The sequence below is a fragment of the Homo sapiens genome, chromosome 2 (genome assembly GCF_000001405.40).
Source record: "Homo sapiens chromosome 2, GRCh38.p14 Primary Assembly".
In the NCBI taxonomy this organism is placed as follows: Eukaryota; Metazoa; Chordata; class Mammalia; order Primates; family Hominidae; genus Homo; species Homo sapiens.
In genome coordinates, this window is record NC_000002.12 from 52,301,211 (window position 1) to 52,315,096 (window position 13,886).

At 36.3% G+C, this 13,886-nt stretch overlaps 1 long non-coding RNA gene across 1 annotated transcript in view, besides 1 other annotated feature; it reads left to right on the plus strand.

Moving 5' to 3' along the window:
* The window catches only part of NRXN1-DT (NRXN1 divergent transcript), a 1,375,317-nt gene that overhangs the window by 1,268,610 nt on the left and 92,821 nt on the right, over positions 1 to 13,886 (plus strand). The gene's annotated exons all lie outside the window — the stretch shown is intronic.
* Positions 10,380 to 11,350: an enhancer, noted in NCBI's record as "OCT4-NANOG-H3K4me1 hESC enhancer chr2:52538728-52539698 (GRCh37/hg19 assembly coordinates)". NCBI's record gives its function as "activates a minimal SCP1, AML or CMV promoter by ChIP-STARR-seq in naive and primed H9 embryonic stem cells {active_cell/tissue: H9 hESC(naive and primed)}" and the evidence as "EXISTENCE:reporter gene assay evidence [ECO:0000049][PMID:30033119]".

The window sequence follows — 13,886 nt, forward strand, 5'->3', positions numbered from 1 at the left end:
AAGAAAGCTCTGCTTATCTTCTCTTATGCTTTTAAAAGCTTTATGGTTTGTATTTTACATTTGCATGGAAAAATCCAGTAAGAATTTATTTTTGCATATGATGTGAAGTAGTCCAGACAGCTATTTTTTCTTTTATGGATTTCTATTCAACCCAGCACCACATATTAAAAGTTTTCCCTTAATTTTACTTTTTAAAATTAAATCAAATGAATATACATGTATGAGTCTGTTTCTATAATGTACTCTGTTCCAAGGCTTAATTCATTTAACCTTGTGTCAGTAGTAAACTGTTCCCATTCCTATGGCTTTACAGTAGATCCTTGATATATGGCAGTGTAAATTTCCTACCTTTGTTCTTCAAAATTGACTTGGCTATGCTTGGCTTTGCATTTCCGTGTAAATTTTAGGACCAAATTATAAATTTCCATGCAGCAGAAAATCTGCAGAGATTTTTATTGGAATTCTTCTTTATTTATTTATTTATTTATTTATTTATTTATTTATTTTTTTATTTTTTTTTTTTTTTGAGACGGAGTCTCGCTCTGTCGCCCAGGCTGGAGTGCAGTGGCGGGATCTCGGCTTACTGCAAGCTCCGCCTCCCGGGTTCACGCCATTCTCCTGCCTCAGCCTCCCAAGTAGCTGGGACTACAGGCGCCCGCCACTACGCCCGGCTAATTTTTTGTATTTTTAGTAGAGACGGGGTTTCACCATTTTAGCCGGGATGGTCTCGATCTCCTGACCTCGTGATCCACCCGCCTCGGCCTCCCAAAGTGCTGGGATTACAGGCGTGAGCCACCGCGCCCTGCCGGAATTCTGCTTTTCTAGAGATCAATTATTGAGACTTGGAATTGCAATATTGACTCTTCCAATAAATAAGCAGAAGATAACCTAGTTTACATAGGTGTTGCTTAATTGTTCTCAATAAAATTTTATAATTTTCTGGGTAGAATCCTCACACAAGGTCTCGATTTATATAAAGGTGTTTGAATTTTTCTGCTATTTCTAGTGGTATTGTTATTAATTGTCCACAGGATAGTTCTAAAAAACTACACACTGATTTCTAGCAAAATTAAAAGGAAATTATACTAAGGTGATTAACAATGACCTAACCCACAGCTTTGATGCATAAATTTTAATATTTTTGAAATTCCTTTTTTGCATAGTTTTTCTTTATCTTTTTGGTATTATTTTTCTATACCCTCATCTTTGTATATAACCCAACACATAGAAATCTTCCTGACATTTCTTATGGAGTAAAAAAACCTGCTACAATATCAAACCTTCCTAAGAAAACTAGAAAAAAATTCTCTAAATGTACTTATAATGGAGAAATTTGATGTGTTTTTAAGAATAAAATAGATGGAATATCTGTTGAATAATTACATTAACGATATGCCTATTTTTCATTTCTAGGACAAATTCATGAAATAATGACACTAATACCCCCTCCTCTCTTTCTGTCTCATATATAAAATATATAATAAATATAAAAAATAATGTATTTTAATTATCAAATAATTGTATATAATAATACACATTATACTATATATATCATAAAACTTATTATATAATACATAATAAAGTCTATGAGATATACGATTTTTTACTGTGCACCTAATGCATACACAAACACATGCAAGCACCCCAAGAAGATGTACAATATTTCCAGCACTTCATACATTTCCACTGTGAGTCTTGCCAGTTCATATTCCCTCAGAGGTCACTAATGTGACTTCTATGAATATCTACTAGTTTTGTTGCTTCTTGAAATTCATATAACTGGGATCATGAAGTTTGTGTTCTATTTGTCTGGTTTATTTCAGTGAATATATTATTGGTGAAATAGAACATGTTGTTGCAGGCACCAGTATTTGTTCCTTCTTTTTTTCTTTTAATTGCTGTTTCATTGAATGAATACTACTATTTTACAAAAATGAACTACTATTTGTTTTACCTTTCACCTGTTGATGGCATTTGGTTGCTTCTAGTTGGAATTTTATGAATAAAGCTGCTATGAACACTCCTTTTCAACTCTTTTGCTGGAAAAACTCATTTATGTATCTTAGGTATATACTTTGGAGTTTAATTATTGGATCATAGTGTAAGCATTACTTAATTTTAGTGCAAACTGTCACATTCACATACTCCCTAGCAACGTAAAAGAAATTCATCTATTGCCTCACCAATACCTGGTATTGTCAATTGCTGTTAAAAGTGTAGTCATTTTAGTTGGGGTGTATTAGTATCTCATTCTGTTTTTCATTTGCATTTCCCATAAAGAATAAGTTAAGCACATATATATCAGCAATTTAGGGTAAATGTTGTTTTGTGAAGTTCATGTTCTAGTCTTGGAACAGTTTTTTTTTTTTTTTAATTGGATGGCCTATATACATGTATATTTTTGTCTTTCTCGGTTTTTTGCTTGTTCCTTCAGAGCTGTATTCCCATTGCCTACAACACTGCTTGATCCTAGAAAGGCATTCATTAAATAATTATTGAATAGAAAAGTAAATGCATGAATTAGTTTACCACACACCCCAATATCTTGTTTTATTGTATTGTGTTTCCCCTTCACCTCTCAATGTCATTGCTACTACAATCCCTTCACTACTCAAATATATTAATAAATTTCTTAGCAATATATTTTTCCTGAAAAAAGCTTTACTCTCTGCATGTATTTTTTTATTAAAAATGGTGTTTTTAATGAACACCATGTTAATATCTTCCATGTTTAATATTTAATATTGTACACTTATGTCAAAACATTAGCATCAATATATTAAAACTCATTGCTGTATAGTGTCCAGTTACACATATTCCTCAGACTATGCTCATCCACATTCTGAATTGTGCCCAAATCCCTGATAGTACAAATAGTGCTACAGTGAACATGCTTGTACATATTCTTATTTTCATGTTCATTAATGATATGGTTTGGCTGTGTCCCCACCCAAATCTCACCTTGAATTGTAGTTCCCATAATCCCATGTCATGGGAGGGACCTAGTGGAAGGTAACTGAATCACGGGGGTGCTTACCTCCATGCTGTTCTTGTGATAGTGAGTTCTCACAAGATCTAATGGTTTTATAAAGGGCTTTCTCCTCCTTCACTCTGCACTTCTCCTTGCTGCCACCATGTGAAGAAGTACATGTTTGCTTCCCCTTCCACCATGATTGTAAGTTTCCTGAGGACTCCCCAGCCATGCTAAACTGTGAGTCACTTAAACCTCTTTCCTTTATAAATTATCCAATCTCAGGTATGTTTTTATTAGCAGCATGAGAATGGACTAATACAGTATTGGTACTGGGAGTGGGGCACTGCTGTAAAGATACCCAAAAATGTGGAAACGACTTTAAAACTGGGTAACAGGCAGAGGCTGGAAAAGTTTGGAGGGCTCAGAAGAAGACAGGAAAATGTGGGAAAGTTTGGAACTTCATAGATACTTGTTAAATGGCTTGGACCAAAATACTGGTAGTGATATGGAAAATAAAGTCCAGGCTGAGGTGGTCACATATAGAGATGAGGAACTTTTTGGGAACTGGAGCAAAGGTGACTCTTTATAATCATGTACTTTAGGAAAGAGACTGGCAGCATTTTGCCTCTGCCCTAGAGATCTGTGGCACTTGGAACATGAGAGAGATGATTTAGGGTATCTGGTGGAAGTCAGTTCTAAACAGCAAAGCATTCATGATGTGACATGGGTGCTCTTAAAAGCATTCAGTTTTATTCATTCACAAAGAGATGGTTTGAAATTGGAAATTATGTTTAAAAGGAAAGCAGAGCATAAAAGTTAGGAAAATTTGCAGCCTGAGGATGCGAAAGAAAAGAAAAACCCTTTTTCTGAGGAGAAATTCAAGTCTGCTGCAGAAATTTGCATAAGTAATGAGAAGCCAAACATATATAATCACCAAGACAATGGGGAAAATGTCTCCAGGACATGTCAGAGGTCTTCCAGCAGCCCCTCTCATCACAGGCCCAGAGACCTAGGAGGAAATAATGGTTTTGTGGGCATGGCCCAGGGCCTTGGTGTTTTGTCCCATCTCAAGACTTGGTGCTCTGCGTTCCAGCCATGGCTAAAAGGGACCAAGGTACAGCTAGGGCCATGGCTTCATAAGGTTCCAGCCCCAAACCTTGGCAGCTTCCTCATGGTATTGAGCCTGTGGATTCACAGATGCCAAGAATTGAGGATTGGGAACCTCTTCCTAGATTTCAAAGGATGTATGGAAATGCCTGGATGTCCAGGCAAAAGTCTGATGCAGGGGCAGGGCCCTCATGAAGAACCTCTGCTAGGGTAGTATGGAAACAAAGTGTAGGGTTGGAGCCCCCACACAGAGTTTCCACTGGGACACTGCCTAGTGGAGCTCTGAGAAGAGGGCCACCTTCCTCCAGTCCCCAGAATGGTAGATCCACTGACAGCTGGCACCATGCACCTGGGAAAGCTGCAGACACTCAACACCAGCCTGTGATAGCAGCCAGGAAGAGGGCTGTACCCTGCAAAGCCACAGGGGCAGAGCTGCTGAAGGCCGTGGGTGCCCACCTCTTACATCAGCATGACCTGGATGTGAGACATGGAGTCAAAGGAGATCATTTCAGAGCTTTAAGATTGACTGCCCTGTTGGATTTTGGAATTGCATGGGGCCTGGAGCTCCTTTGTTTTGGTCAATTTCTCCCATTTGGAATGGGTGTATTTACCCAATGCCTGCACCTCCATTGTATCTAGGAAGTAACTAACTTGCTTTTATGTTTACAGGCTAATAGGCAGAAGGGACTTTCCTTGTCTCAGATATGACTTTGGACTTGGACTTTTGGGTTAATGCTGGAATGAGCTAAGACTTTGGTGGAGTGTTGGAAAAGCATGATTGTGTTTTGCAATGTGAGGACATGAGATGTGGGAGGGGCCAGGGATAGAATGATGTGGTATGGCTCGGTCCCCACCCAATTCTCATCTTGAATTGTAGTTCTCATAATCCCCACATGTTGTGGAAGGGATCTGGCAGAAGGTAACTGAATCATGAGAGCGGTTACCTCCATTCTGTTCTTGTTACAGTGAGTGAGTTCTCATGAGATCTGATGGTTTTACATGGGGCATTTCCCCTTTCACTTGGTACTTCTCTATCCTGCCATCATATAAAGAAGGATGTGTTTGCTTCCCCTTCCACCATCACTGTAAGTTTCTGGAGGCCTCCCCAGCCATGCTGAACTGTGAGTCAATTAAACCTGTTTTCTTTATAAGTTACCCAGTCTCAGGTATGTCTTCATTAGCAGTGTGAGAATGGAGTAATACAATAAGTTTTTTGACTATTCATCTATATCTATCAATCTATATATATTGATTTATGTATCTATATTGGGATTGACATAGATGTGCTCAATTTCACTAACCATTTGATGATTTTTTTTTGGTGGCTATCTCAATCAACAATCCCATCAGCAGTACATGAGGTTTCACATTTGCACTCAGTCTCTCTAACATCAGATTTTCTGTTGTCTGCCATTCTGATTGCCAAAACAGCCATATCATTCTTTTAATTTGCATTTCTCTGCTTATAAAATAGTCCAAGAGCCTTATAATATATATTCTGGACATTAAAATTTCTTTTTATAATAATAGCATACTATATCAGTTACTTGCTTTCTAAATGATTTCCTTCACTTTTCTCTTTGATTTTCAAAAATTCATTACATAATCTAAATATCAATTCAACAGTCATAGGTATAGGGGAAAACATGTGTTTCAATCTGAAGAAAGTACTTTAACATCATGACTGCTGAATTGTATGACAAGTATATTTAGTCTTGTAAGAAACTGCCAAACCCTTTGTTTTAAGTGGCTGTATCATGTTTCATTCCTATCAGCAATGAATAAGAATTCCTGTTGTTCCACATTCTCACTAGGGTATAATGCTCCCACGTTATTGTTTTAATATGCAATTTCTTATTTATATATGATGCTGAGCATTTCTTTATATGCTTATTTGGCATTTGTATATCTTATTTGTTGAAGTGTTTGTTTAGATCATTTGCCCATTTTTTAAATTGGGTTGTTCGCTTTCTTATTAAGTTTTAAGAAGTCTTTTATATTTGGGATACAAGTCTCTTATTAGATATACATTTTGAAAAATTTTCTTTCCATCCATAACTTGTCTTTTCATTTACTTAAAAGTAACTTCTAAAAGTTTAATAATGTCGAGTTGTATATTTACATCTCTGATCCATATTTAGTTAATTACTGTGGAAACAACCGGATCTCTGTCTAGCTTCAAATTTTAGCATGAGAATGTTCAATTGTTTCACACCATTTGTTGAAATGGTTGTCCTTTATCCTTTGTATTGCCTTTGCTCCTTTGTCAAAGATCAATTGAGTGAATTTGTGTGACTCTATTTCTGGACTCTCTCTTCTGTTCCATTGATCTATTTGTCTATTATTTTATAAATACCATGCTATCTTGATAACTATAGCTTTATACTATGTCTTAAAGTCAGGTAGGGTCAGTCCTATATCTTTGTTGTTCTTCAATGTTATTTTTGCTATTTTAGGTCTTTTGCTATTCCCTAAAAACATCAGAATCAGTTTGTTGATATTCACAAAATAACTTGCAGAGATTTTAATGGGTATTGCATTGAATCCATAAGTCACGTTGGAAAAACCTGGCAATCTAATAATACTGAGTTTTTCTATCCATGAATATAAAATATTAACCAATTTATTTATATCTTCTTGATTTCTGTAATCAGATTTTTCTAGATTTCCTCATACAGGGGAAATATATGTGTTATATATTTTGTGATATTTATACTAAGTATTTTATTTTTGTTGCTAATGTAAATATATTGTGTTTTTCGTTTCATTTTACATTTTTTCATTGCTGGTTTGTAAGAAAGCAATTTAATTCTGTATATTAACTTTGTATCATGAAACCTTACTATAAACACTTACTAATTCCAGGAATGCTGCCAATTACTTGAGATTGTCTACATAGACAATAATGTCTTATATGAAGAACACAGTTTTATGTCTTCCATTACAAAATGTATACCTTTTGTTTCCTTTTATTGTTTTATTGCATTAGCTAAAACTTCTAGTATGCTATTGAATAGGAGTCACGAGGGGGTACAAACTTGCCTTGTTCCTGATAATAAATGGAAAGTGTAATTGCCCAACATGTTCTTCCTGCTTGCTGCACAGATAAAACCAGTTCATTGACACCACAGTATTGCAGTAGACAGAGTTTAATTATGCAGAGCTAGTCAAGTAATAGCTTGGGGTAATCACTCTATGCCTATATATTAGTTCCAACATCTAATTCGTCTTGGGTTTTGTCTTCATTGATTACTTGTCTTTTGTGAATACTCCTGTCTTTCTGTTTTACATATGTTGAGAAACTTTGGATTGCATCCGGTGCATTGTGTAAAACATGTCTTAGCAATTGAATTCTATTATGTTCTTCCAAAGAGTATTTTTTTAATGATGAGAAGGGACTCAAAACAGTTTTTGTGTTGTGATTTCTGTTTGTTTTTTCTAAGCTTACCTGTGCTACTTGGAGTCATCTGCAGGCATTTATGGTTCATGAATTAACCAATACTTTGAGCAAAATTATATCAAGAATTGAGGCTTCCCTTATCTGTCTCTCTTCTTTCTTGGATTTCACTGCCTCTGTTTATGGTTGCTGTTGCAATGATTTCTACAACCTAGACCTTCTCATCAAACCAATACATTTACTATTGAAATTCTATACCCTGTCCTTAAATTAAAAGCTGTAAGCATAGGGAAACTCTTTCAGTGCCATTTCCTTCCTAAGAGTATAAGTTCCCTTCTTCCCTAAGTTCCCTTCTTCCCTTCAGTATCTGCCTGCTACTCCCAGTGCCTTCTAGTCATCTTTTTAATTCTTTATTTGCTGTTTTTAGTTATAAGGACAAGTTGGTCTGCTAGGGGGTATGTAGCCATATTGGAAATAATACCCTTGGAACACAGTGAACTTCTGAAATTTGATTTTGGATAGGGTAACTGCTGAATTTATAGGACTATGTACATTTATATATGCATGCTGTTATGATGTCTTTTATAAGCAAAATAAATCAAGAAATCATTATTATTGGATCCTATACCTCTATTTCTTATTTTCTCTGACTTAATGCTTTGTCTAGAAGTTTCAGTATATTGTAAGAAGTAGTGGTAATAATGCACATCCTTTTTTTTTTAGTTGAAATGTTTTGAGATATTTTTTCTTTTAAGTAGGCTGTAAGTAAGATGACTTGCCACAAAAGTTCTGTAAGGAGGAAAAACAAACTTTTTCCAACTCATACTGAAAAAATTTCAATAAATCTCCAATAGCAACTTATGATGAAAACACTCAAAACTAAGCAACTTACTTTGTTGAATTTAGCTACCAAAGGGGTATGTGTGTGCATGCACATGTCATCTTACTAGATTTTGTGACATTATATCATGCTAGCATTCTAGGAATAAACCATTTTGGAACTTAATAAATTTTAATACACTTTACATTTTTTTCTATTTTTAAATTTTGTATTTTAATACAAATTTAAATTCTTTTTTTGTTTGTTTGAGAGTCTCACTCTTTGCCCAGGCTGGAGTGCAGTGGTGCAATCTCAGCTCACTGCAACCTCTGCCTTCCAGGCTCAAGTGATTCTCATGCCTCAGCCTCCTGAGTAGCCGGGACTACAAAGCCAATTTTGAATCAATTTCTATGTTTATATACATCCTATTGGTTCTGTTTCTCTGAAGAATCTAGTAAAACTCTTTTCTGTGTAATGAGTGAGAGAAAGGGATTATATATTTTAGAGTTTGCAAAGACTAATCTATAAAAACATCTCAACCTGGAATTATTTCAGGGGTTCAGTATTTTATTATCATTCATTTTGTCTTTTGGCTATTACTGTATTTAAATTTTCACATAATATTTTCATTTGGTTATTTCTTTTGACTGCTTACTTCTTTTTCATAGTCCCAATATTTTTAATTATATGTTTCAGATATTTCTAATGCTTAATTTTGGTTTGGCAAGGGAAGTCTGTCCAATTATTTATACTTTTTGTCCTATTCTTTTCCTTTCTTCCTTTTCTATTATTATTACTAGTATTATACAAAATTAGAAATCTAAAATTTCCTAATTTTATTCTTTGAGTTAATAGTCTCTTAGGAATAACAGCTACATTGGCTGGGAATATATAGCCCAGAAAATTGGTACCATCCAGACTCTGAATTACATATTCCAAGATGAATTCAGAAAGTGGGTGTGGAAAATGTTCCTCAATGTAGAGAAGCTCTTTTGTTACAATCTGAGCACATCGACTCAATCCATTTTCCTGCCTCAACACATACTCAACCAGGAGACTTTTTTACTTCGCTGGGCATTGCTCACACCCAGGGAGTTCTCCTCTTGGTTTTAAGCACTGGGACAACTGCGGTCACAGAGAATAAAGACAAGGACAGAAATCACAAAGACTGACCACTCTATCTCTACCTTTTCTTCTTCTTCATCACAGCCAGTTTAGTAATGCCACACCTTCTCCTCCCTTCTACTTTGCTTGTTATTCTTCTTCTTTTTTTTTTTTTTTAAAGTTATAAGTAATGGGACAGGTGGGGAGTGATACCATCAGGCAATTTGGAGAAAAGAAAAAGGGAAAAACAACAATGCTCTTCTTCTGTCTGTCCTTGTGCCTCTGGCCTTCTTCTAATCTGACATCAGGACTTGCCACATTGTGCCTCTCTAGGGGCTCCTCTAGGTTTCAGTGGTCTGAGATCTGTTAACTTATTTCTTGCTTTTGTGGCATCTCCCAGGTTAAGATCTGGGAAAAAAAAGCCAGCTTCCTATGCTCATCCTGTCAGAAGCCAAGAGTCAAAAATTTTTTTTTTCTGTATCATTTTAATTTAAATGCCCCACTTCTTCCACTGAGGCAATTTAAAAATTAGATATAGAGAATTAGAACAATTAGAATTAAAAATAAATGTAACTTTTGAAAAGGTACGGGAAGATAAATCCTCCCCATTTTGAGGGAGCTAATAAATATGCCTTAGCACAAAATTTGAATCTCTATTTTCCATAAGTTAATGAAAGTTGCAAAGCTGGCCCTTATTCATGGACATACACAAATCCATTTGCAGGGACAATTTTTTCCTAGACAGTCTCTGAATTTCCATAGCACTTAACTCCTGATTGTAACCACTGGAATAGGTTTTTTCTTCCTGGAGAGTCTAAATATTCTGAGTAGGCCAATCTAAGGTTTCTTATGGGCTGTCACTGGGTTGAGACATTAACTGGTATTTATTCCAGAATGGAAAGTACTTGTTGTAGACTTTCTAGAATTTTCTGAATCTCTCATTTCTTTCCCCACTATTTGCTAATGAATGCTTGGCAATTTATTGTCCAGTAAGAGAAAACTTACATAAAAGCTATTTTCCAAGAATCTACCAACAAATTTAGGAGACCAAATTTTAAAAAATGTTTAATGCATATGTAGAAGCCAAAGAAAAACTTTCTTTGCCTTCTGAAGGTTCACTGAAAAATCAGCTCTGTGAACCACAGTGATTACCCTCACCTCTCAAAGGGGTACAGAAATTTATATAACACCTTGAGATTACAGAAAAAATGGGGACATCACAGCAGGGCCACAAACAGGTTATGGAGATAAATCAGGTGATAGTGGCAAGACAGGTTATGGGAAGTGGGGAAAGAGGAGGCTTACGTAGCAAAGGTGCTCTTGATGTATACATGAAACTTCACAGATAGCAGCCTTCAAAGAAAACAAATAGTAAACGTTTCTTTCAGATCTTTAAACGTACCAGACGCTCAGTAAATCTTTCCTAGATCTAGACAAAGAAAGGCCTGCTGGCCTCAATGCAGATTCTTTACAGATGCAAATCTCTCCCACAAAAGACAGCTTTGGAGGGCTACTGCTGTTTACTTACTGGCTCTCTGAACAGCCATCTCAAAACATGCCAAAGAAGTGTATTTTAAAATGAAATATTCGTATTTCCTTCATATATGTTGCATAAACCTGTCATTTTCAAGCTTAAAGTTTCCCCACAAATGTAGGTGCTCTCAACCTAGGTGTAAAAAGGGGTATACTGTCACCTGCCTGATGATGAAAGTCACAAACGATCTGTTCAAAGAAAAATATAATAATGTGTATTTTTTTTTTTTATCTTAAGAGCTTAAGTGTCTTTGGGAAATATGTTCTAAATCAAAGAAAATGTAGTTATCCTCACTAAAGTCTAATATGTATGTCTAATCACAAAGGAAATACATCAGCTTTTTATCTAACATTGAGCTTTACCCTATATACGTAAAACTATACTATAGAAACTATAAAAACATATGTAGGAAATACACATTCCCCTCAGTCCTTAAATGCTCCTGCCTAAGGCACCAAAAAATAATTCACACTGTGAGTTTAGTCAGCGCAGAACACTGGAGCCACTAATGAGCAGAACAGCAATCAGTGAATGACTGAAGGCACCACACTTCCAATGCAGCTGAATAAAGGACCTCTGTTTCCTGAGAGAACATGCCATTCAAAAAAATGCACCAAGGTCCATGTAGTAAAACTCAAAATACAATTCTGTTTTGTTTTTATTTTAAAAAATGATCCAATTCAGAAGCTATCTGGTAAGTGGTAAGGCTAGTGTTTCTATAAGAATAGAGAACAGGAGATACCTTAATATTAAGATTTGGCCAGGCGCCGTGGCTCACGCCTGTAATCCCAGCACTTTGGGAGGCTGAGGCGGGTGGATCACGAGGTCAGGAGATCGAGACCATCCTGGCTAACACGGTGAAACCCCGTCTCTACTAAAAATACAAAAAATTAGCCGGGCGTGGTGGCGGGCGCCTGTAGTGCCAGCTACTCTGGAGGCTGAAGCAGGAGAATGGCGTGAACCTGGGAGGCGGAGCTTGCAGTGAGCCGAGATCGCGCCACTGCACTCCAGCCTGGGCGACAGAGCGAGACTCCGTCTCAAAAAAAAAAAAAGATTTCACCGGGTACAGAGAGAATATCTTCACCTGCACACTTGAAAGTTCATTTTAAGCAACGATCTTCTTTGCTGTTAGCCTGCCTACAATACTTTCGTAATCCGGAGAAATGTGACTGTCAGCTATTTCCATTCCCCAGCCCTATTTTTCCTCTTACCATGCTATACTTCGCATGCCCTCATTACACTTTACTATACTTTACTAAGTTGTCTTAATGTAGTAGACTACAAATTACTTCAAGAAAGGGACCTTATTATTTTCTTCACTGTCTACCTGATAGTTTTCACAGTTCCCAGATCATAATAGATGCTTATCAAACGTTTGAAATAAAATAAGGTATAAAAAATGTATGATATACCACAATGTTAGGTGTACAGAATCTGATAAGTGAAAGTCAAAGACCATGTGAATTATATTTTGCTCCTAACAAAACATGATCCAATCACATGCAAACTCAAAGGAAAATATAAGTTCTTTAAGGTTTATCTCCAGGGCATTTGATGGTCTAGAAAAATATTGTCCAATATAAACATCATGGGAACTACGTATGTTATTGTAAGTGTTATGGTCACCACATTAACTAAGAAGGAAGAGATGAAATTAATTTTAATAACATATTTTATTAACTCAACATATACAAAATATCATTTGATCAAAAGAAAAATCTTAATGAGACATTACATATATATATTTTTTTTCATTCTAAGTCTTTGAAATCTGGTGTATATTTTACCCTTAATAGCACATCTCAATTCTGAGAGCAACATTTTACATTCTTGAAACCACCTATGACTATTGGCTGCCACGTTGCACTGTGCAGGTCTAAAGCAGTGCATTTCACATTTTAATGCGCACAAGACACACTGGGGATATTACTAAAGTACAGATTCTTTTCAAATATAATTGTTTTTCATCTTTTTTCTCCAAGCACTTTGGAACTTTTGCTCACTGACTAGACCATCTCCAGTTTCTGGGGGAGGTGAGCATGGCAACTGCAGTCACGTAGTTGGGAGGAGAGGAGCATCTTCTCATGACTTGCCATATGGGAAAAGTGAGATGGAGGGAAAGAAAAAACATTAAATTAATATATAATGTTGCTGCTGGGTAGCTATGTTAGGGTAAACTGTCACAACAAATATTCCTGAACCTCAATGTCATTAAAATAAAGGATTCTCTCTCATTCTGCAAATCAGCTAGAACTACCTCACTGAGGCCTAGCAAGTCATGGGGAGATGAGTAACAGAAATAACAATATTTTATCAGTGTTTTTTGTCATGAGGAAATATTTGTCATTTCTTTCTTTTTTTTTTTTTTTCCCCGAGACAGAGTCTTGCTCTGTCACCCAGGCTGGAGTGTAGTGGCAGAATATCGGCTGACTGCAACCTCCGCCTCTTGGGTTCAAGTAATTCTCCTGCCTCAGCCTCCCTATTAGCTAGGATTATAGGTGCCTGCCACCATGCTTGGGTAATTTTTATATTTGTAGTAGAGACAGGGTTTCACCATGTTGGCCAGGCAAGTCTAGAACTCCTGACCTCGTGATCCGCCCACCTCGGCCTCCCAAAGTGCTGGGATTACAGGCGTGAGCCACCGCATCTGGCCTAATATTTGTCATTTCTTAAAGGACTGCAACAGCTTTTAGATGAACTGTCTAATTGAGAGTGTTAGAAATATTTAAATCAAATTTAAACTAGAAAATTGGAAATCATGGCCTTGAGCTGGTGTATTTAATTTTCTTGCTGATTGCTCTGTGTGCCTTTTTGTTGCTTAGGGTTTTCCAGTTGTCTGAAATATTCGTATTATTCATATTTTGTTGACAAGTAGATGAGTTTAAGAACCTATTTGTCCACAAACCTTTCAGAGAGAATACCTTTTAATCGACTATTTTTTCCTCCATCA